This window comes from Homo sapiens, chromosome 18 (assembly GCF_000001405.40).
Source record: "Homo sapiens chromosome 18, GRCh38.p14 Primary Assembly".
Taxonomy (NCBI): Eukaryota; Metazoa; Chordata; class Mammalia; order Primates; family Hominidae; genus Homo; species Homo sapiens.
In genome coordinates this window covers 75,194,906-75,217,264 of record NC_000018.10, presented here as the reverse complement: position 1 = coordinate 75,217,264, position 22,359 = coordinate 75,194,906, and the positions used below count along the sequence as shown (strand labels likewise).

Below are 22,359 nucleotides of genomic sequence, written 5' to 3'. Positions count from 1 at the left end.
TGTGAATTCACACAATCAATGATTATCTATTTCTTGGGATGTTCTGTTTATGACACTGTTAATCGTTCATAAGAACCAAGCAGCCCTCTGCAGAGGCCTGCCTAAGGCACTTTGCCCCACACACAGGGAGTAAGGTCTAGGCCCTGCCTTCCCTTCAGCAGCCAAAACTCTTGGCAAACCCCTGCCCAGGCCTCTCCACCACCACAGCTAAAGCATGCCTAGAAAGCAGGCGCCATTGATCAGGAACTTTCTGTTGATAGCATTTACTATACATGATCAGGCGGCACAGGGCACAATTAACCTTTCCCCTGGCCCTCCTCCTCGGTGAGTCTGGCGTTTGGCTGGAGTGAAAATGCACAGGCAGAAACAGGAGTGGGTCCCGGCCCAGTGGACCATGCCTTTCCAGAAGCTCCCCAAGCCAATACCATCCTGACCCCAACACTTCCTCCTTCCCACCCAGGCCCTCCTCCCTGCTCTCTGTTGAAACGTAAGCCTCACTGGTGGGCACCACCCTGGGCGACTGTCTTGGTTCAACTCCATCACCAATATGCTTTCAAAAGCAGCCACAAAAAATAGCTCACACATTCTGCACCCATATGCAGCCATCCAACGACCAGAATAGGGCAAAGTGATTTCTAAAATACTACTTCTGACCTAAGACAACACAAAACCTCTTATAACCAAGGGTATGATAAGTCTTAGGGAGAAAATGGTCTTACAGTGAAACAGTTTTCGTTATCGGCCTGTATAGATACTACAGAAACTTTCTGGAATGTATTCCCCTCCCCAATACATTAACATAAAATCTCTAACTTCCTACCCAGATCCAGTTTCACTTCTATTTGGCCTAGAAGAGCTCATCACAAATTACCCCACCACTGTAAACATCACAAGCACCGCAACAGGAAATACACAATATCACCATTTTTTTAAAGAGTAATTTTGAAGTATACTACACAACTAGATGTTTTTAAATACATTAACATAATATTAACATAATAAGCAATGAAAGAAAATTATCCATTGTTTGCTAACAGTTATGCTAAAGAGATGCAGTGAGTAGGAAATAAGACATGCCTACAATTAAAAAAAAGATATTTCGGTCTTCATTCAAAACTGTTTCTTACTATTTTCATCCCCCTGTATGAATAAATAATAATTAACAAAATTAAACTTAAATATTCAGAAAGCATACGCAGGCGGCGCCTAAATCTCTTAGTGAATGAATGAATGAATAAAACTGACCAGCCCCCCTCCCCTTCCAACCCTCCCCCACCACACACCCACAAACACAAACACACAGACACACATACACAGAGTATAAGCACAGAGACTCCAGCACACACACTCCCAGCAGAACAGGGCAGCCTTAAGTAGCTGACAAAATACTAACAAAGGAACACATGTAAATACATGCTACGGCCCCTCCCCGTGGGATTACAACCTGTGTGTGCAGGGTGGTAGGAGGGCGGCCATTACAGTGGCACCACTAAGACAAATTGTTTATCCAGACACTACATGTTTTCACAGAATATTTCCTGTTCATCTTATTTATAAAAGCAGTTTACCTCTGAAATCTACTTACTCATCCAATCAACATCATTTAATATTTTGCAATGATATTGCAGTTGGAAGTTCATCATTTAGCCTTCCTGGGAGGAAAAGGTGCCATTTTAGGATCAAGCATTTTCCCTCCTCTGTTCAACTGAGAGCTACAACTGGGGTGTTGAATCTAAACATCCATTTCTACAGCTTGACAAAATTTGAGATATCCACCGTTTAAGCTTTTTCTCAATATCAGTTTTCTTTGTGTGTGTGTGCCAGGGTGGAATTTCAGGCCTACCAGGGCCTGAGATGTTCACCATCTTGAGAGAGGCACACTCCTGTGATTTCACAGGTATAATTCTTACCCAGACACAGACTTGCCCTGCCCTAGTCCACATATTTACAGATGGCATGAGAATCACTGGAGACGGCCCGGTGTGCTCCCAGCCAGCGACATTCTCTGGTACAGATCTATTCTGCATACACCTGAAAAGACTGATTTTTAATAACTTTTTATTTCAGGCCTGTCCCTCCCTTTCACTTAAAACAGCATGTCTAAGTCACAGCAACTATAACCATGAGGGTCTTCAGCATTGAAGAAATAAAAATACATAACAGCTGAGTGGTTGGTTTTCTGTCTTGGCTTGATTGCACAGTTCAAAGCCAGGATTACGGAGGTCATTAAGCAGCATTGTCTCGGTGACATGATTAGTCAGGTAGCAAAGTCCATTTGTCACCTGCACCAGCAAATTGAGTTAATACTGCACTACAGGCTATGGGGACTGTATAATATCAACGTGATTACATCAAGCGGGATGCAAACTTGACAGCTCACTGAATTTGTCCGCATTAATCGTTACGCCTGTCACAAATCCATCAGGTTTACAGATAATTAGGGGCCTGTTAATGAAGCTGGCTAAACAACCTTACCTTTTTTGATAATTAAGAAGCCGCTTCATTACGAAGGGACCATTTCCTCTGAGCAGTATTTCTTTATTTTTTTTACATAAGGAGGATTCATTTGGATAATTTTCCCTTCCTCTCTCATCACTGTGAAGTATTGCTATTCTACATCTGTCATCCACCAACTTCCTGGCTACCAAACAATCAATTATTTGACACTAAGATACTCTCAAGAAAAACTCATCAGTTACGGATGGAACAGTGAGGCAGGCCAACATGCAGCTTTAAGAAAAAAACAGTCAGGATGTTATAATAAAAACACTTTGGAAAATCGCTTGACTCACATATGTATATCATTGCCCTCTTTCTTTTCCAGAAAATGAACAAATAATATTTGCTACCAATGCATTGTGGCTACTTTAAGAGGGAATCTGACTGGCTTCTGCAGAGATTATAAACATCGACGGCTCCTTATTAAACGCTTAAGATGAAGGAAATCAGGATTTTCTCACCTAGCCCATTACAAATATAGGAAGGACTTATGCCAATGTAAATATTAGTGAAAATAAGCAAGTGTGAACCAACGTGTGTTAATGGAAGTAATTCCAGATGAAAGCAAACAGCCTTATTTTGCTAGGAATCCACGTTAATGCTTTTTATGAGTGAGGGGGGAAGAGCTAAACAATGGCTCATCTAATGAACACAAGAATCCCACAGGTTTGGAATCAAAGTAGAGATAATAAACCCTGTAATTAAACTTACACAGAACCTTCTAGTATGGAATCTATTTTTGAAATCTCACTTCAAAACACAGGACACTTGGAACATGTGCTGTCTCAATTTCCTCTCAACTAAAATATATTTTGGCTCCATTTTTTAGGGTTTTTTCCCTCTCAAGTTCCTGTACAGCAGATGACTCAGTCATCAACTCTTCATAGCCATCACTTTGCAGCATTTTGATTAAGTATGCCAAATGTCGTGTAGAGGAAAGAATGGAAACACTAAGCCTGCCAACTTTTGATTGACCATTAAAGCCAATGATATATGTGCCTGTCAAAAGACAGACAATTAAATCAATATTGGAAAAAAGTCGCCTTGACGGCTTGTTTTTATGTAAGAGCTGCCAGGATGGATTACCATGCACCATCATGCCCTTGTCAACTTTCAAACCTTTTATTTAAAAAAAAAAAAAATGTGGTATTTAAAGTTGCAGTACCTCATTCCCTCAGCATTTTGTTTGTCCTTGGAAATATTCACCGCAATTTTAACTGCAAAAGTTCTTAAGAGTACAGGAGTAGTTTTCTGAACACAACTTTTTATTGTACATTCTGTCATTTAAAAAAAAATCCCTCTAACTGTGAAAATGTAAAGACCTCTTGTTTCTAGCATGAGCAAGTGGCGAATATCTTGAGACACTGAGCTATATTATTTGGGGGCTACCAGTGGCATAGATACTCTCTTTGAAAGGTTTCTTCCTCCATTACTCAAAGTTATTCCAAAATAAATATTCTCCATTCTGTTCCTTTTATGTTGTGAATACTCAGCATAAGGTAATCTCCTTCAACTCTTTGAGAGCATCTCTATCAGTGATCTAATGGAAATGATGAGGTTATTTTACTGAACCATTCATAAACGTAGATACTATTCCCAAATTTTTTTAGTAGCAGTAATCTCTGCTTTAAGTGCTTCCCCAGAAAAAGCACGTATAAAGACTTGAACACGTGCACATTACTGAATGTGATACTCAAACTTATTCAGATTCTATTCTGTACTGCAACAGCTAAAGAGTCGCTCATGTTTAAACATAAAACACTCCTTCTAATATTTTTACCCTAAGAGCTTGGAGAGAGTTGATTTACTCTATTATTTAGCGATAACTCACTGGCATATGGGTTGCATTCTCAGCCCCACAAACGCAATGTCCAAAACTGAGACAAGACTTGAGCAGGCAGCAGAATCACTGGGCTATTTTCAAACCTGTGCTCAAAAACGCACGGCAGCTGACCCACCCCAGGTTTAGCAATGGATTAGTAGGTGAGCTGAGTTAAGGGATGCTGCAGCTGTAAAACTTCTGAGACAAAATTAAAATGGAGCAGCAAAAGGGGGAGCGAGAGAGAAAAGTTGCCCTGATAGTGGCGGAGCTGTCAGGAGCATGTGTGTTTCCATGGTGAGTGATTTATTGATGTTTATCAGGAATGAATAGATCAAAGGCTGCCAGATGACAGGCGATCAATCACACATCAAATCAAGGATGGCAATCCTCTAATAAAACAGAAAACAAGGAAAACCAGCTCCTGCCAGTTCCTCCTCCAGAGAAAAATAACTTTTCTGTTCAATCAGAGTCTGCACTATCACTGCCTTGTGCTGGCCTGATCAAAAGACATCTTTAGAGGTAATAAAAAAAAAGTGGGGGCGGGGGGCCTCTTGCACAGGACATTAAAGGCTGCTGTTTTCCAGAGAAATCTTCTGAACACATTCTTTGCGTCCCAGCCTGGTGACCTTGTTTTCAAGTGTCAGGTTCAGCCTCCCCGCCTTTGGAGGACTTTTCCAGTGCGCTCCGGCAGCCAAGGAGCAACTACTTCCCCTCAGCGCACGCCCCCTCCTGAGGTAGCCAGAAGCACCCGCCGTCCCGCGGCCCCCGGCCTCCCCCGGCCATCCGGGCTTCCCGCAGCGCAGAGAAGCACCGCGAACTTTCTCTGCTCCACGCGCCGGCCCAGGTTGGGGGTGTGGGGGAGGACGGCGACCGCAGCCTCCAGACGACTGTGGCCAGCGCAGGCTGGGCCTCCCCTCCCCAGCTTGGGGCGGCCCGCGGCCCACGTCCCGCACCTCGGCCCGCGAAGCCCCCTCCTCCTGCTCCTCCCGGCGCCCACTCCCCGCGGCGCGGGCCGCGCGCCCGTTACCTGCCGAGCGCCGGGGGGCCTGCTGCTTCCTCCTCGGCATGCTGCTCGGCCGCCGCAGCCGTCGCCTCAGCCGCCGCCGGAGTTCGCGGGGCGCGGGGACGCGGGGCCCCGGGCGCGGGCGCAACTCCGCGGCGCGCCCAACTTTGGCCTCGTCCCCGCGGGCTCCGGGCTCCGGGCGCGCCGCGGACCGCGGGGAGCCGCTCGCATGGACCGCCGCGCCCGGGGCCGCTCAGGAGGCGGCGGCGGCGGCCGCGCGGCCCGCTTCCCGGCGCCGGGCTGCGGGCGGAGCGCGCGGGGCCTGGGCGCCGAGCCCGGAGTCATCCCCGGCGCGGGCCGCGGGCGCAGCAGCGGGCGCTCGGCGGGCCGGCCCGCGGCCCGCGCTCCATGCTGCCGCCTCCCCGCCGCCGCGCTGCTGCTGGGCGGGCGCTCCTCCCGGCGCGCCGCTCCGGGCGCTCCCCTGCGCCTTCTTCCGCGAGCCGAGAGTCGCCGAGCGCAACTTTCTCTCCCCCTCTCTCCTCGCTGTTTGGGGGTCGCGGCGAGTGTTTTTAGTGCGCGGGTCGCAGCTTTCTCATTGTGCGCCAGCGAGGCCGATGCAGGCTGTCCTTTTCCTCCCCGCACTTAGTCTAAGAGGAAGAAAGCAAACAAGACAGAGGAGTGAAGCCCCCGTACATACATGCGCCGGGGGGAGATGTCAGGCGCTGCTCCACCTTCCAAACAGTCACAGATCAAACAGTGTCACCCCGCCGGAGCGCCACTTGGTGCCCCGCGCTTCCACCCGGGGGGCTTGGCCGCCAGGATCGCCGCTTCTTCCAATGCGAAATCTAATGCAAACACATTTTGATCATGGATTTTTGGCCGGTCTTGATCTTCCAACAGAAAAAAATTTGAAAAATACACAAAAAGCACCCCCCCCTCCAAGAAAAAAAAAAGGCAACAACAACCCGGAGAGTGTGTGCAAAGGGGGTGAAGAGCAGACATTCACTGGGTGGGCGAGATGAGCGTGGACTGTCCCCCCCCCCCTCAAACTCCTGGGAGAGAGGGAGATGCACTCTCGCTCTCTCCTCTTTTCAGTGAAATATAACACACATTCGGATCGCAGAGCTTTCAGACAGTCTCAACTGATAGACAGACACATCGAGCTGCTTTTCCTGCTTCAGTTTTTACTCCTCCTCCTCTCGCCAACGTCACCCTGACAATTACAAATAGGTCTCTCACAAACCATACCTGTCAATCTTTTTAATTGCTTTGTTTTCTTTTTTTCGGAGCTAAACAATATGACAAAAAAAAGAAATCTTAATACAGCATAACATAAAAGATTGTACATTGGAGGAATTCATTCAGTGTTGTTATTGTAACCCACTGGCTGATACCGGGTAAAACCCATATGCTCTAAGTTAAGTAGACATTAGTTCCTGCAGATTTTTAAACCTGTTAGTTCCCCCCCAACACACACACATACACATACACACACTTGCACATTCATACACACGCAACCACGTGCATCCAAACTACCCTTGGGTGAAGCATGTCCTACATTTGGGGGGAAAAATATCTGTGTCGCTTTTGCAATCTCAGGTTGGGGGGTTAGATTTGGCTGGGGAGGAGCCCAGAGTAGCTTTTATATTTTGGTAATTCGTGGGTAACTGAAAAGCAAGATATTTTTAAAATTAAATTTTACAATTTAAATAAAAATGTAAAGATGGACTTAGTTCATCACAGAAAAGTGTGGAAATATTTAATTTGGCCCCTCTATAAAAAGTGAATTGACATTTGGTCCATGCACGCCAGTAGGGAGAAAACGGACACGATGGAACGACAGATCTTTCTAGCTGGGTTCGAAAATGAGGTCCTCACACAGCAGTGCAACGTCTCCAATTCAGTTAAGTCCCTCGGCATCCCCACGTAGAACTTTAAAATGTGTCTGTGCTCTGGGAATTTGGCCTTCTGGTTTTCTATATGTGTGTTCTCTCCCAATGGGAAACCTGTAACAGTCTTGTAGATCTACTTAAAACATTCATGGAAAAACATGAAATCTAGGCCAAAATAAATAAAATGGCTTAGTTCCTGCAACTTGCATGGGACAGACCGTGGACAGAAAGCACGCGCAAGGGGTTCCGGGGACAGGAAGCCACCAGCCTGGGGAGCGGGAGGCACTGGACATTTCCCCGCCCCGCGGTCGGTACGGGTGCGCGTGCGGCAGCGGCGGCAGGGGCTCCCCGCCCTGCCCGGGGTCCCCGGTCGTGCCCCGCCGCCCGGGCCGCGCTCGGGGTTGATTCGTACCACCTTGCAAGGAAGTGAACGCTTCGCACGGGAAGGGGAGGCGCCTGCGCCGGCCGCCGCGCAGCTCCGGGGACGCCCGGGGCTGCCGCCGGCTCGGGGCCGCAGACGACCGCGGGACGCGCGAGTCCCCCGTCCCCCCTTGCCCGCCGTCCCCCCCGCCACCCTTGCCCGAGAGGAGTCAAATCCGGCTTTTAGAGCTCGGGGAGGGTGGGGATATCCGGTGCCTCTCCCGCGCCAGGAGGAAGGGGGAGGGCGGAGAGGATCCTTGGCCAGTCTGCGCCGAGCAGATTCAAACCAAAACAAAAAGATTAAAGGAGCAGCGGCCGGGGCGGCAGCGGTCCCCAGGCCGGGACACCCGGGGTGGTGCGCCCGGGTTCGCGGGGGCTGCGCCGGCGCCGGGGAGGCGGGGGGAGCGGGAGCGGGCGACGCGGGGAAGGGGGGAGCCAGGGGGAGGGCGCCGGCCGGAGGAGGGGCGGACCCGCCCGCCCTAGCCGAGCAGAGCACAGCCGAGCCGAGCGGCCCGGGCGGGGGCCGACCCCGGCCAGCGTCGGCGCAGAGAGCGGGCGGAGGCGCAGGCCATGCTGCGGCTGGTGCCCACCGGGGCCCGGGCCATCGTGGACATGTCGTACGCCCGCCACTTCCTGGACTTCCAGGGCTCCGCCATTCCCCAAGCCATGCAGAAGCTGGTGGTGACCCGGCTGAGCCCCAACTTCCGCGAGGCCGTCACCCTGAGCCGGGACTGCCCGGTGCCGCTCCCCGGGGACGGAGACCTCCTCGTCCGGAACCGGTGAGCCCGGCGCCCCCCAACCCCACGCCCCCGTTCTCGCCCCGGGCTCGCGCCGCGCCGCGCCGCTCCCGCAGTCCCCAGCCCGCCCGCGTGCCCACACTCCGGCGCGCGCTCGGGCGCACAGCCTGAGTTTGCGAGATCCCGGGAAGTTGAACCCGCCGCCATCTGGCGAAGGCGAATGTGATGTGACTGTTGCTGGTGTGAATATCCGATGCCACCGAACGTCCTCATAACTGAGGGTTATTTTAATTTGGGATTCCCCTCCCCTCCTCCAGCCCTCCCTCCTCCCCCTCCCGCTCCCGAAATAAAACCGACGGGACCCAGAAGGGGAGGCTCCCCGCCGGGCCGCCCGCGCGCACCCACAGTTCCTGCGTTGACATAATCTTTAGGGTGGAGCGGGAGCAGCCTGGACGCAAACTGCGACGTTTAGGTAAACGTGCTTCGGAGGAAGGAGGCTGGGACCCGGCTGGCTTTCCCTGTTCCCTCCAGGTTGGCAGCCGCCTCGCAGTGGCGGAGCCTGTCGTTGGATGTGTGGGTGTGCACCTCGCCGGTGTTGTCTGCGTGCTGTCAGTGCAGTGTGACTGTTGTCTGTCCCCTGAGTGTTAACGACCGCCGCGTGGCGCGTGTCCCGGGCAGCTGGGCCAGGGTCGGGGTGGGGGCATGGCTGCCTTTGCCGGCACGTTTTGCAGACATTCAGGTGACACCGGGTTGTTGCGAGACCTTCTGGCTTTTCCATTCCCCGCGCTCCCCACCGTCGTGTTTCCGCCTCACTCATCTTTAGTAACTGGCGAAGCAACAGGGAGGAAACGGACCTCACTCTTTATCGGAGCCATGCCCGCTTAGGTCTTTGCTCCGTGGGTCCCTGGCTGCCCGACTTGACTGGCAAGGCGCTCCTCTATGCCCTCTGCAGAGGCCTGCAAAGTCCCATCGAAATGTTTACGGTGCTGCATGTGTCAAGTTGAATAATAATATCGAAAGGGAGGAGTAAGTTCTGACTGTAACTATGTTGTAAATTGTGTACTAGAAAGTACCGTAAAGTCCCTTGCACGGACTGAAGGACAAAATGTACCTTCCTAAGTAGCTTGATGCAGCATTTAATTTGTCCATTTTCGAGATTCCTATTAGCCTTCCTAACAAGACTGTAGTATGGAAGAATGCTGATCACGATATAAAACTTTTGGAAACCTTTTGGGAAGAATGATTGAACCATGGGTAGGATTGTGTGGAGGCGGGGGTGGGGGGCTGGTCTGGAATGGCTTAAAGGGGAGTGTGTAGGGATCCTTGAAAATGTTTGCATTGGCTGTGGACACAGCAGAGGATTGATTCATTATGGGATGAAATGCCAGTGCTGTTGAGAGTAAGAGCGTGCACCCAGCCCAGCTAAAAAGAAGGGCTTGAGTATGTGTTCACGTGGAGCACACAGAACGCATGAGTGATTTGCTAGAAGTTGAGATGACACCAGACTGAAAAGATTTCCAAACAAACTTTAACGGGCAAGAAGTTCCACACAGGGTTTTTCCCTTTTTCTCCTTCTGATAAAGTGTACTCTTGATTGCAAACACTAGTATAAACACACACAAAAGTTTGTGAATAAAATTCCTTTTGGAAATGGTGTGATATGGGGAGGAGGCGACTGAGCGAGGAAGGGCAGGGGGAAGGTGAGGCGTTAGAGAACTATAAGCCACAGCCTGGTGGGACCACCTGCCTTTGGTGGAGAGGTGGAGAGGGCTCCCGCCGGGCTGCGCTGGGTCTCCTGGGCCTCTCTACCTGCGAGTGTTAATAAACTCTGTGGGGTTTTTTTTCCTCCTGTGATTCCTCTCCCTTCAGGCTTACTGCTGCCCTGGGACCCCTCCCTTTCCCCTTCCCCAAAGGGCAAGTTCTCCCCTGGGGAGAGAGGCACAGCCAGGGTGCCTAGGCACTGCCTGCCCTGGGTCACCAGGGTTGGTCCTGGGGCGGGAGACAGGTGGATCCCTGAATTTTGTGGTCAGAACGCGGGAGTGCAGACTCCCATGTTTGGAGCTCCCCAATGTGCTCCACTTTAAAATCCATGCCTCTTTTTTCCCTGCACACACGCCAAGAATCCTTTTAATATAAATAGTATCTCCATATGAACAACCTAACCCCTAGTTTCTTCCTTGAATCCTTAAGGGAAAAGAATGGGGACAGTTTTCTTTTGAGTTGGGAGGGGACAGAATCTTTGCCTCCCGCTTTCCCTACTCTGTTGGAAAATCTGCTCCCACCACCACGTTGTAGGAAGATCCTGTGTTCTTGCAAACAGTGTCAGTGGATGTGACATTTTACCGAATTTTTTAAGAATAGAGGCTTAATAATTCACTGCAGGTTAGTTCATTTTAATCCTAGACCAAATCTCCCCTAAGCAATGTTAATTGCTTTAAATTTTATGCAAGTGCCTCTCATTTTTATCATCTTAAAATCCGCTCTAGAATGAATTGAGTAAGCCTAAATTCCCTTGTTGGGAAAGATGTTTGGTGGTTTTAATTGTGCTCTGATTTTTTTTCTTTCAGTGAACAATTTGCACATTTCATTGCATCTTAGCACAAAATACAAATTCTTCATTCACAGGGAGGGATGTGCTTGTAAGCTAGACATTGATTTAGGATAATAAAGTTTACTATTTAGAAAAGATGTAAGAAGGGGCATATAAAATCCCTATAGAATGTATAATTGATGGTCCTTTATCCAGTTCTTACCTTACTGTTTTATGTATCCGAGAACAACTTCCCATCTCCCCCTCTATGCTCAGTCCTTAGAAAAGAAAAAGAGAGAGAGAGACATCCCCAGGTTAAATCAGTTTATGCACTATTTTCAGCTTTTTTCGTAAGAAGGTGACAGATTATTTCGTTTCCAAATATTTCTAACGATTTTCTGCTCAAGTGTAAGATAATGGAGCAAAGAGTTTGTAGGAATGGCTAAGGGACGGTGGGGGATGGGGAAGGCGTTTTTGATAAACGGTTTGTTGCTTACGGAAGGGGAACAGTGTTTTCTGCTGACTCTCCAGGCCGAGATTCCCACCCCCTCCCCCCCGCTTTTTTTCTTGTCTTTCTTTCTTGTCTTTCCTTCTTTGTTTCTTTCTTTCTTTTTCTTTTCTTTCTTTCTTTTTTCTTTTTTTTCTTAAGGCAGGTCTGGTTTGGACGACTTTGTTTTGTCTCCCAGTATTGAAGGCTTTTACTCTGGACTTGAATCCTCGCCTTTGGTTTTTGTTCAGAGGAAAGCGTTCCTCTCCCCTGCGCAGGATCGCTCTGTTTCTCAGTAAACATGACGAGGGGGTTTAGCACTTTTTAAGTACATATAAGCTGGTGACTCTAGAAGGGTACAGATTTGGAGAATGCCTGCGCCGGTCCTATTCTTTTTTCCTGGGGTTTCTGGATTTTAGTCTTTTAAGTGGATCCTCCCGTCGGATTACTAGAATCCTGCGCTCACTGCATGCACACAGTTTCAATTAAAGGGGGGGTGGGGGTACAAGGAGGGTCTCCAAATGCGCGAATCCTTCCCAGTGTGTCTTTCTTGTCTTTCTGTGGCTCCCTGGCCCTTCCGCCCCTGCTCCCCATCCCGAGCCCCGCATTCGCTTTGCGCCTGCTGCGCTTGAACTTGTTTCTGGTGGAGCGGAAGGCGCGAGCTGCGGACCCTCACGCAGAGGTAAGGACTCAGGCGGGTCCCGGGCTGTGGAGGGTCCTCACCAGCCGCGGGGGCGAAGCCGCGTCAAAGCAGGGATCCCGGTGGAGGTGGGGGTCCGCGAACCGGAGGCAGGGAGACCAAGGAGACAGCGCGGCGCGAGGAGCCACCCGAGCCGCCGCGGGCTCCTGCCGTCAGCCAGCCTAAGCCTCCTTCACCGACGACGCAGACAATTTAGAAGACGGCGGGGCGGGAGAGCGGGGGTGAGAAATGGGGGTGCCTGCGAGGCCAAGGTCACGGTCAAGCCGCCGGCGGGCCCTGTCTGTCGGCCACTGCGCTCCGGCGCGCCGAGTGCACGGGACTCGGAGAGAACTTGTCCACCCAGGCGGAGCTGCGCGGCCGGCGCTGGGACGAAGGGCGCGGACTGGGCGCGCCTGCCGGGGCCCCCGCCCGACCCGGAGAGGCCGAGGTCACGGTCGCAGGCCTGAGGAATCTCAACTCCACCGCGGCGCCGGGCCTGCGCGGTCCCGGCCCGCCCGGGAGTTGGGGTCAATGAATCCCCTCTCCGTGGTGGCGGTGGGGATGCCGTAGGACTGCACGGCTGGAGCTGAGGGCTGCAGCGGGCACTTCTGAGGGAGAGGGAGTTAGATGGACGGAGCCTGGACGGGCACGCGGGCCCCGCGCGTCTGCTGCCACCGCTCCAGCGCTTGCCCTTGCGAATAACCACGATGTTTGGTGTGGTTTTTCAAGCAAAGGCCCCTGGCAAACTCAAGCAGCCGCTGGCTGGCTGCAGCCGCCCCAGCTCCCAGCAGAGCCCCACTCCCCCCTCCCAAACTTGGCCTCTGCTAACCCGGTCCAGCGCGTGTGCGCGCTCCCCAGGCTGCTCCGGTGTGCGTCCTGCTCCATCTCTCCACCTCTTCCCAGGAAGCGGCAAACCACAGCCTGGGGCGGGGAGAGGGGGGGTTGCATTTTCCCCTTGCAGAGCCCCCCAGGGCGCGCCCATCCCGAGGTGGGGAGGACTGCCGTCGCAGAGGGGCTGGCCGCCCGGGTGTCCCCCCAAGGCGGGGTCTCCCTGCAGAGGAGCGGCTACTGCCTTTGGGACTGTGGAGACACCAGGGGGACAAACTGGGAGGGATGAAGGGCGTGGGAAGGGTTAATCGTGGGCAAAGGATTGCACAGAACACAACTGGCAGTGGGTCGGCTCCTGTCCCCCCACTTCCAGAGCAAACCCTACCGTCACTTCCACCCCCACGGGCACCTTTCCTGGAGTTTGCTTTACAGCCTAAGGCAGAGGCACTGAGACGGGCTCCAGCTGGCTCTGCCCTGGGCTGCTGCTGTGAAGTCCAGAAGCAAGCTCCCAGGGAAGTGGGCCCTTTTTAAAACGCCAGGCCTTGAGAATTATGTAAATTTAAAGGAAAGATGGCAGGTTCTTTCCCTTCTCTAAAAATAGAATGTAGGAAAAAAAAAATAGAACGTAGGCATCTTGATATTAAATTCCAAATAAGAAACCAGCAAAACTCATCTTCCCCCTTCTCATGATTGTGTATCTTCCACGGGTATGGAATTGTGTGGGGTGTTATTGAGGCTGTGTGGTGTGCTGGCGTCTGAATGCAGCTTGACATAACAGAAAGCAGTTGCTCCCTGCGTTCTTATTTCTACAATATACAGAGACTTTTCTGTCCTGTAGATACATGGGGGATGATCATAAGTGAGCTTTTATAAGCGCAGAGTATTACCTATATCACCGTGAAAGTGTATCGCATACAGGACAGTTTTGGCTTATTAAGTTAAATTAAAAGTGAATTCCTTTTAAATGACCTGCTTAACGGCTTTCCTCCTCCACCAGTTACTATTACCTTTTCATTCTATTACAGGTGGAAATGACATTTTTAGGGTCTTCCATTATGTGTCTAAGCCACCTTCTGACATTCTTAGTAGATGGCTTTTTTCCTCCTATGTATCAGGATATTTTTGTTAGGAGGTATACTGAGATGAAAAAAGCTGGGAAAAATACTGGCCTCGCAATTAAATTGACTCCGGATACCAAGATGAAAATAATCATCTGGTATTAATCAAGTTATGTCTCTGCTTCTTGTTGAGGAAAAATATAGTAACGATTTGCTTTCCTTTTCATTTGAAAAGGACTGTGAAATGTTGAATGTTTCATAAAAATCGCTCTACCCAATTTTTGTTCAATTAATCAAAATGCGTATTTTCACACTGGATGTAGTTACATCAGAAAGAAAATTTGCGACAGCCACTCTAACAGTGCTTCAAACAACCCCTGCAGGAACATGTAGCAACCAGTGACCTTGCACATTCCATCAATCTTTAATAATATCATTGTCATTACTCTTATTATCTTAAGTGTTAAATTGTTGCCAGAATCAATACAAGTCTACTTCTTTGAATATATTTTATCCCAGTGTTGTTTTTAACATCTTTGTTAAGAGGCCAATTAATTTCCAACTCACAGCTCCAGTGAAGTTTATATATAATGAGGATTTCCTGACTCTTTTTCTTTTTTCCTTCTTTTCTTTTTTTTTTTTTTGCTTATTTCTACTTTTGAAAGAAGACAAATAAATGGCATGTGAAAATGTGAAACAAACAACTTGCCATTTAAAATGATATGAAATTATTTCTAAACTGATGAAAGGAAAAAATATGCCAAAAACTGAGACAAAGCACATTGAACTAATACTTGTTTAATTTCTTTTTTTATCTGAGCAGCAGGACTAATTTTCTCAAATTCGATCAGATTGTATAGCTTAGCAACCCCTCCAGGGTCGCCAGAACTAGAGGAATTTCTCTAAGCAGAATCTAAATGCCTAACAAAAAACCCATCGTAACATATTTGTTTGTTTGTTTTCTTTTAGATTTGTTGGTGTTAACGCATCTGACATCAACTATTCAGCAGGCCGCTATGACCCCTCAGTTAAGCCTCCCTTTGACATAGGTTTCGAAGGCATTGGGGAGGTGGTGGCCCTAGGCCTCTCTGCTAGTGCCAGATACACAGTTGGCCAAGCTGTGGCTTACATGGCACCTGGTTCTTTTGCTGAGTACACAGTTGTGCCTGCCAGCATTGCAACTCCAGTGCCCTCAGTGAAACCCGAGTATCTTACCCTGCTGGTAAGTGGCACCACCGCATACATCAGCCTGAAAGAGCTCGGAGGACTGTCGGAAGGGAAAAAAGTTTTGGTGACAGCAGCAGCTGGGGGAACGGGCCAGTTTGCCATGCAGCTTTCAAAGAAGGCAAAGTGCCATGTAATTGGAACCTGCTCTTCTGATGAAAAGTCTGCTTTTCTGAAATCTCTTGGCTGTGATCGTCCTATCAACTATAAAACTGAACCCGTAGGTACCGTCCTTAAGCAGGAGTACCCTGAAGGTGTCGATGTGGTCTATGAATCTGTTGGGGGAGCCATGTTTGACTTGGCTGTAGACGCCCTGGCTACGAAAGGGCGCTTGATAGTAATAGGGTTTATCTCTGGCTACCAAACTCCTACTGGCCTTTCGCCTGTGAAAGCAGGAACATTGCCAGCCAAACTGCTCAAGAAATCTGCCAGCGTACAGGGCTTCTTCCTGAACCATTACCTTTCTAAGTATCAAGCAGCCATGAGCCACTTGCTCGAGATGTGTGTGAGCGGAGACCTGGTTTGTGAGGTGGACCTTGGAGATCTGTCTCCAGAGGGCAGGTTTACTGGCCTGGAGTCCATATTCCGTGCTGTCAATTATATGTACATGGGAAAAAACACTGGAAAAATTGTAGTTGAATTACCTCACTCTGTCAACAGTAAGCTGTAAAAACAGAACAATGACATAAATCAAGGGAGAAAGAAAATGGGCACTTTATGTCTCAGAATTACTCAAATCAATTTATTTTTAGTTGGTAATGGATATAATATTTCTTAAAACAAAAGTAAGGTGTTAATGAATAGGTCTCTCCTTCTCCTCCTCCTCCTCCTCTTCCCTTGGGGGAAAAAAAAAAATGTGCTAATAAAACTTCCCTCCATGGCTAAGAGGGAAAACGCTTACATTCAATTCTTTAGTCATGGATGGTCTCGTTCCAGATGTTATTGTTCCAGGGAACTAAATTCATTCCTGATGCCAGATCTGATCGAGTCAGTATGTCTTCAGCTTGATCAGATTTTAAAATCAGTTTTGAAAGTGGTTCCCGACTTCTTTGCTTTGGGAGAATTTGGTCTTATGCTCATAAGCAGTTCATGAGTGACAAGTGTAGCAAAAGCCAGCCATATATTTTCAGAATCTATATCCTCAGGAAATGGTCCTTTTTTTTTCTATAAATCACCAACCAACTATCTAAATGGACATTTGGGGGAATTCCCTCCCAAATTTGATTTTGTTATTAGAAAAATGATTCCGTGAACACAGATGTGTTTTGAAGAAGTAGCACGTAATGGCTTTTATCTACCATCAACCTGATAAGGCACATGTGAAATGGAAATGTTCTCTTTCCTCTGAAGCAGCAAATTAATGTTGAAAACTTACATAGACAGAAAGTAGGTTTTGGAAAGGGAAACCACAGAGATTAGGGGGACTTAAAATTAATATAGGCACAGGAAAGAGAAAAGTGTGCGCTCCATTCTCAGTGGGGGTTCACCACAAAACACGGGCCCCAGGAGGGAAGCGCTGTCTAGGCACACGGCAAGGCCTTAGTAACAGCATGCTACACTGCTCGAGGTACGGTATGTCCCATCGCCCTGTGCACCGTAGAGACCTCAGTCATCTCAAGGAAGAATACATTTGCTTCTCCTTAGAGGCGTTCGAACTAGAAGCTATGCGTTACCTCTGATTCTGGAAACAGAATAGCAGCCACTCATTCTGCATTCCCATTTTTCTCTCCACGTGTTCTGGTGGAATGAGATGCTCCTTGGCACTATAGCCTGATGTCCCACATTGACCCACTGACCACACAGGAAAAGCAGCGAAACCTGCACCCTCTCTTCTGAGTCACGCCTGTGGCTCATCGGCTTCCCTCTTAACCTTTAGTGCCCTGAAGACTGCTGCCGCTGTCACCGTTGCGCTGAAACCCCATGGGCCCGTTCTGATTGAAGGTGAAGCCCACCAGATTATTTTTCAAAGTCTTAGGTTTCGGTGTATCTAACCTGCTCAGTAAATATGGACGCAATTAAAGATGCTCTAGGAAATTTGGGGACTGTATTTAATTTTTCTTTCCTTCCATCTGAGGAGCAAGGAAATCCTACTGCTGAATAGCTGTTAGTATCTATTTTACAAGATTTACTCATTTTCAGGTACCTAATGTAGCTGCTAGCATGCATGCACAACAATACAATTTATATGGTAAATGGAACCAAATAATGGCTTCACTGAATGTTATGGCTGCACTGAAGGGAAATGTCACGGTAAATAGCTGCCAAATTATGGATCATGCCGAAGTGTCACAACTGCACTAAAGACAAATAGCACTAGAGGCTATTGCCACTGTGACGCTTTTGAGTTATGAAGAAGGGTAGCGGCCTGATGCGAGGCTCTTTGTGTCCTCATTATAGCAAAGGGTTACTGGTGCAGGGGACTAGGAAAAACCCGTCCAGTGTGGTGCTTAGTTATTCATCCATCCCTTTCAGACCTAACAGCCACAGCCACACGGAAAGAGACTTTGCCTCACTTTTACATTCACAAACAAACAAAGGAGGGGGGAGCAGGTTTTATGAATGTAACTGTGCACAGGAAATGACTGGTAATGGAAAAAATGTTGTAATAAAATAATCTAATCAAAGAATATTATTAAATTTAACATAGTCTATGTCCAAAAGGCTTAGTTGCTTCTTATGCAGATAGATGTGTGAAATCTAAGCAGTAATGTACTTTCTCCCTTTGTAAAGACTTGGGGAGTAAGGACATTACCAACTAAATTGCTTCTTCGAAACTGAAGTGAGTCCCGGTTTGTTTCATTTTAATGGGAGGGTAATAAAGATGAAAGACCAACATTTTAACTGATGGATCCCTTAAGCTACAGAATAGAAATTTATTGTGTTTTGAGGGAATATACTAAATGCAGCTATGTAAAAATAAAATTCAAACGCCCAGGATTAAAATAAAATATAATCTGAAAACCTCATGTTCTCTCTTTCCCCAAACTAAGAAAGTGCACTGCATGCTGTTTTCACTTATTCTTAGAAAACAAGCATGAAAGATTCCGCCCATTCAGATAATGCCAAAAATATGTTTAAACTTTTTTTTATTCTTTTGAAAAATGATTTGTAAATTGAGGGTCATAGTTCAGCATCAGTTTCATCTTCTGGGATTATTGTTCAAGACCAGCCTCTAATGGGAGGTGAAACGGTACGATGGTCTCAACACCTTTCTTCTGAACTGTAATACATATCACAAAAAGTACATCCATAATTCAGGGCAATTGTCAGTCTTTTTAGAGAAGGGGCCAGGGTGGAACAATCCCAGTGAGTAAATTATTTCTCAGCGTGGACTTCTCTGCATGTCGGGCTTAAGGTCACCAGCCGGGCAGGGTGGAAGGAGCTTGCCTCTTTGAGAAACCAAGGAGTCCCAGTGATCTGTTACCATTTGGTTATGACTTCTAAAGAGCCAAATGCTATTCCTTCAAGCCTGTTTTGCAGGCAGAAAATACCAGCAGTGTCATTTAGGGGTTCCTTTGATGATGACTACTGCTGTTAACTGACCTCAGCATTAAAAAAAAAAAAATTCAGGGAATAGTTTGCAAAGAAATGAAGGAAGTTTTGCATGATATATTCTATAACTTGTCATTATATGATTTCATCTGGATGAAGTTCCTCAGGAGTAGGATAGAGCCTCTGTAAATGGTCATTAGTATTACATTCTGTGTTTATCTAATGAAAGTGCAGTGACAAGTAGCTGCTTCTTATTAAAATGAAAATCCTGCATTATGTACTTGAGGAACATTCCAGCTAATGAGGATGTAATGTCCTCAGTACAACGCAGACCTTCTTTTTGTGTTCACCACCACAAGATGCTGGAAGCTTGACAAATGATATCATTTAAGACACATGCCTGCCTTAGGGACCTGGTTTTTGGCTTCCTGTTTCTGGCTTTTATTTGGGTAACGTTTATAATGGCCACCCGACTTGTACCTGGGTAATGTTTTAACCCCTTCCCCAGAGTTCTCAATTAGCATGAATTTACTACAGTCAGAGTTTCCTTTAAATTGGGGTGGGGGTGCTAAGCACTGAAAATATCTTTCTTGATTACTTTACCATGTGGACATATGGGATAAATACTGTATTTCAGATTTACATAAAAGTAGATTAGTAATGCACAGCTTTCAGAATAAAAACTGATAAAAAAGACCAAGCACTATCAACTTTGGACAGTAATTTCCTAGGTGTTAAACAAGTTTTCTGAATACAATCTGGATGCAAAACGGCCTGATTTGATGAATTCATAATTTTCTTCTGTATACTTTCATTTTATTAAATATTTTATTACTTGGTTAAACACAAGAATTATCTATGTAAACTTCATGGGCTTTTTTGTTGAAAGTTAGATGTTCAGTAACTAATTTCCCAGTTATGGCCCAGAATTAAACATTTATGATCATATTTCAGAAGTCAAAATACAAAACTGGATTATCAAAACGGTTGGTGTGGTCACTTTAAACTGGACTATCAGTATGGTTGCCGTGGTCACTTTAAGCGGGATTATCAGTACGGTTGGTGTGGTCACTTTGGTTTATCATCAATACAGTTGGTGTGGTCACTTTAAACTGGATTACCAATATGGTTGGTGTGGTCGCTTTAAAGTTTGTTTTCATTTTTTTTCTATTTTTAATTCTTACGGGTATATAGAAGGTGTATATATTTATGGGGTACATGAGATGTCTTGAAACAGGCATGCAATGTGAAATAAATAAGCACATCATGGAGAATGGGGTGTCTACCTCCTCAAGCATTTATCCATTGAGTTGCAAACAATCCAGCTACACTCAGTTATTTAAAAATGTACAGTTATTATTGCTTATAGTCACCCTGTTTGCTATCAAATAGTAGGTCTTACTCTATTTTTTTCATTTTAAACTTTGAATTTTATTTTTCCTAGGCTTATAGCATCATGCTATCCCCCTTGTAAAAGGAGGAATGCTTGGCATGAGAACCTTACTGCTGTTACCATGAACAAACTATGGAATGTTGGCAAAAGAAAAAAAAAAGTTACACAAAACACACAAATAACATTTTAATAATATGTATCAGATCAAGTGATTCTTAGTAGTAGTTGATATTCACAGGAAGTCAAAAAAGGACCTATTTCAATTATGTCTGCTTGAATCCTGTTTAATTGTTTCCCTGGCTGAGTAGCTAGTGTGACACAGCAGCAAGACTAAAGGGGCTCTGTGGTCCACATTGTCCTCGAGTCTATTCTTGCCCATTATAGACCTGCCCATTGGTGCTCACTCACTGCATCCCAGGAGGCTTGACTGTCCTCAGGAAGCATGTTGGGGTGCCCTTAAGGGTAAGTATCCCGGGGAGCACAGTTTGGAGAAAACCAATACGTCTTCATGTATGTTGAGAAGCGCTGGGCCAAAGTACAGACTTTTTTTTTTTTTTTTTTTTTTTTTGGGACAAGACCTCGGCTCTGTCACCCAGGCTGGAGTGCAGTGGTGCAATCATGGTTGATTGCAACCTCAACCTCCCTGGTTCAAGCCATCCTCCCACCTCAGTCTCCTGAGTAGCTGGGACTACAGGTGCACATCACCATGCCCGGCTAATTTTTTTGTATTTTTTTACTAGAGATGAGGTTCTACTATGTAGCCCAGGCTGCTCTGGAACTCCTGGGCTCAAGCAATCCTCCCACCTCGGCCTCCCAAAGTGCTGGGATTGCAGGCATGAGCCACCATACTGGCCTAAGTGCAGAAATTTGAACATGTGCCTCCACCCCAAGCCAAAATTTCCCTTGAGGAGCACTATCTATCTGATGATGTCTTTGAAACGGTATGAAATTAAAATAATTAAAACATCCTGCACATAGGTGGTAGCATCTAATATGAAAGATGGATTTATGCTTAGAGCTCAGAAAAATCCTCATAAAATTATTGTGTCTTATCCTCGGCACCTAAAGAACTGAACAGGGTCTTAGAATGATCAAATGGATGGTTTGTTTGGTTGGTGGGAGATGTTGAAACGTGGGTAAGGAATGGTGTCCTTAGAAGAGAGGTTGCCCTAGATGCCGAAACCCTGGAGGTCCATGGTTGCCAGCAGAAACTTACAGCTGGGAGGAGCCTGCACCCATCTCTGGCTCTTGTGAATGAGAAGACTCAATTTGTGTTTTTGTTTTTTTGAGAAAGGGTCTTGCTCTGTCACCCAGACTGAAGTACAGTAGCGTGATCTCAGTTCACTGCAGCCTTGACCTCCTGGGCCCAAGCGATCCTCCCACCTCAGCCTCCTGAGTAGTTAAGACTTCAGGTATGCATTACCATGCCTGGCTAATGTTTTTTTATTTTTTGTAGAGACAAGGTCTCCCTCGTTGCCCAGGCTGGTCTCAAACTCTTGGGCTCAAGTGACTTTCCTGCCTCGGCCATCCAAAGTGCTGGGATTACAGGCATAAGCCACCGCAACATGCCCCAGTTGCTTTTAAACTGTTAAATGTGGGATTTAAAGAATAATCTAGTTCTACCCATTTTATGAATGAAGAAAAGAAACTGGGACCCAGAGAGAAAAGGTGCCCGGTCCAAGGTTACAGAGCCCGTTGGACTCAGAAGTGAAGCTGGAACACTGGCCAATGCCCTCCCATCCGCCAGGTGACTTCTCTGCAGTCCCCTTTACCATCTGCCCGGGTCCTTTGGGATACGGCTGACTAGGGGTTTGAAGAACAGCAATTGGCCTTTGTTATGAATCTTTTTGTGGAGATAAACCCAGTAGAAGTATCACGGTTCTGACCATGAAAGTGTGTTCAACTCTAATCCAGCACAATTAGGATTCCAGATCATTTGATTCTGTGTCGTCTAAATATCACAGAAAGTTAAAAACAAATTAGCCTCAATGGAATTAATGGCTTAATATCCATAATTTAGTTTTAATGCTAGGAGGAAGGGCTCCTGTGAATGTGTTCTTACAAATCAAATAAAGAAAATCAAATAGAGAAAATCATGTGTAGAGCGTTCATTCTCTAGAAGGATTTCACCTACATGTTTTTGCCTATAGAAAGCTGATAATGTTTGACTATCATAATCTTTGCCTTCATAGCAGAATATCTAGAATTTGAATTTGCTCTTCTGCCCAGAATCAAATTCTGAATCCTGTAGACTCAGCTCCTTGGGGGATGAATTCACTCATTGATGGCAGGAAG

The 22,359-nt window shown here is 47.1% G+C and overlaps 2 protein-coding genes across 5 annotated transcripts in view, besides 9 other annotated features; one reads left to right on the top strand and one right to left on the bottom strand.

Moving 5' to 3' along the window:
- Positions 1-6,468, bottom strand: part of TSHZ1 (teashirt zinc finger homeobox 1) — a 79,148-nt gene extending 72,680 nt beyond the window's left edge. The window contains exon 1 of one of the 2 annotated variants that reach the window (NM_001308210.2): positions 5,349-6,468. In NM_001308210.2, the coding sequence (NP_001295139.1) occupies positions 5,349-5,388 (40 nt within the window). In that variant the 5' untranslated portion in view covers positions 5,389-6,468. The remainder of the gene's footprint in view (positions 1-5,348) is intronic. The other variant, NM_005786.6, reaches the window with a different exon arrangement.
- Positions 5,155-5,474: a silencer, noted in NCBI's record as "silent region_9549". NCBI's record gives its function as "represses an Ori minimal core promoter by ATAC-STARR-seq in GM12878 lymphoblastoid cells {active_cell/tissue: GM12878}" and the evidence as "EXISTENCE:reporter gene assay evidence [ECO:0000049][PMID:35858748]".
- Positions 6,357-6,651: an enhancer, noted in NCBI's record as "tiled region #3936; K562 Activating DNase matched - State 1:Tss". NCBI's record gives its function as "activates a minimal TATA promoter and a strong SV40 promoter by Sharpr-MPRA in K562 cells {active_cell/tissue: K562}" and the evidence as "EXISTENCE:reporter gene assay evidence [ECO:0000049][PMID:27701403]".
- Positions 7,412-8,451: a silencer, noted in NCBI's record as "silent region_9548". NCBI's record gives its function as "represses an Ori minimal core promoter by ATAC-STARR-seq in GM12878 lymphoblastoid cells {active_cell/tissue: GM12878}" and the evidence as "EXISTENCE:reporter gene assay evidence [ECO:0000049][PMID:35858748]".
- Positions 7,412-8,652: a biological region, named in NCBI's record as "H3K27ac-H3K4me1 hESC enhancer GRCh37_chr18:72920599-72921529".
- Positions 7,691-8,621: an enhancer, noted in NCBI's record as "H3K27ac-H3K4me1 hESC enhancer chr18:72920599-72921529 (GRCh37/hg19 assembly coordinates)". NCBI's record gives its function as "activates a minimal SCP1, AML or CMV promoter by ChIP-STARR-seq in naive H9 embryonic stem cells {active_cell/tissue: H9 hESC(naive)}" and the evidence as "EXISTENCE:reporter gene assay evidence [ECO:0000049][PMID:30033119]".
- Positions 8,126-22,157, top strand: PTGR3 (prostaglandin reductase 3). 3 transcript variants are annotated; one of them, NM_175907.6, is made up of 2 exons: positions 8,126-8,415; positions 14,925-22,152. In NM_175907.6, the coding sequence occupies exons 1-2, from the start codon at positions 8,207-8,209 to the stop codon at positions 15,847-15,849; spliced, it is 1,134 nt and encodes a 377-aa protein (NP_787103.1). In that variant the 5' UTR covers positions 8,126-8,206; the 3' UTR covers positions 15,850-22,152. The 3 variants fall into 3 exon arrangements, with proteins under 3 accessions (NP_787103.1, XP_024306934.1, NP_001293022.1); XM_024451166.2 differs by lacking the exon at positions 8,126-8,415 and adding an exon at positions 8,748-8,845 and having other exon boundaries at positions 14,925-22,157; NM_001306093.1 differs by lacking the exon at positions 8,126-8,415 and adding an exon at positions 11,752-12,072 and having other exon boundaries at positions 14,925-22,157.
- Positions 8,477-8,652: a silencer, noted in NCBI's record as "fragment chr18:72920568-72920743 (GRCh37/hg19 assembly coordinates)". NCBI's record gives its function as "represses an EF-1alpha promoter that drives an FKBP-Casp9 reporter gene in an ReSE screen in K562 erythroleukemia cells {active_cell/tissue: K562}" and the evidence as "EXISTENCE:reporter gene assay evidence [ECO:0000049][PMID:32094911]".
- Positions 11,644-12,637: an enhancer, noted in NCBI's record as "H3K27ac-H3K4me1 hESC enhancer chr18:72916583-72917576 (GRCh37/hg19 assembly coordinates)". NCBI's record gives its function as "activates a minimal SCP1, AML or CMV promoter by ChIP-STARR-seq in primed H9 embryonic stem cells {active_cell/tissue: H9 hESC(primed)}" and the evidence as "EXISTENCE:reporter gene assay evidence [ECO:0000049][PMID:30033119]".
- Positions 12,230-12,329: a silencer, noted in NCBI's record as "silent region_9547". NCBI's record gives its function as "represses an Ori minimal core promoter by ATAC-STARR-seq in GM12878 lymphoblastoid cells {active_cell/tissue: GM12878}" and the evidence as "EXISTENCE:reporter gene assay evidence [ECO:0000049][PMID:35858748]".
- Positions 12,410-12,579: a silencer, noted in NCBI's record as "silent region_9546". NCBI's record gives its function as "represses an Ori minimal core promoter by ATAC-STARR-seq in GM12878 lymphoblastoid cells {active_cell/tissue: GM12878}" and the evidence as "EXISTENCE:reporter gene assay evidence [ECO:0000049][PMID:35858748]".
- Positions 22,158-22,359: the final 202 nt, after the last annotated feature.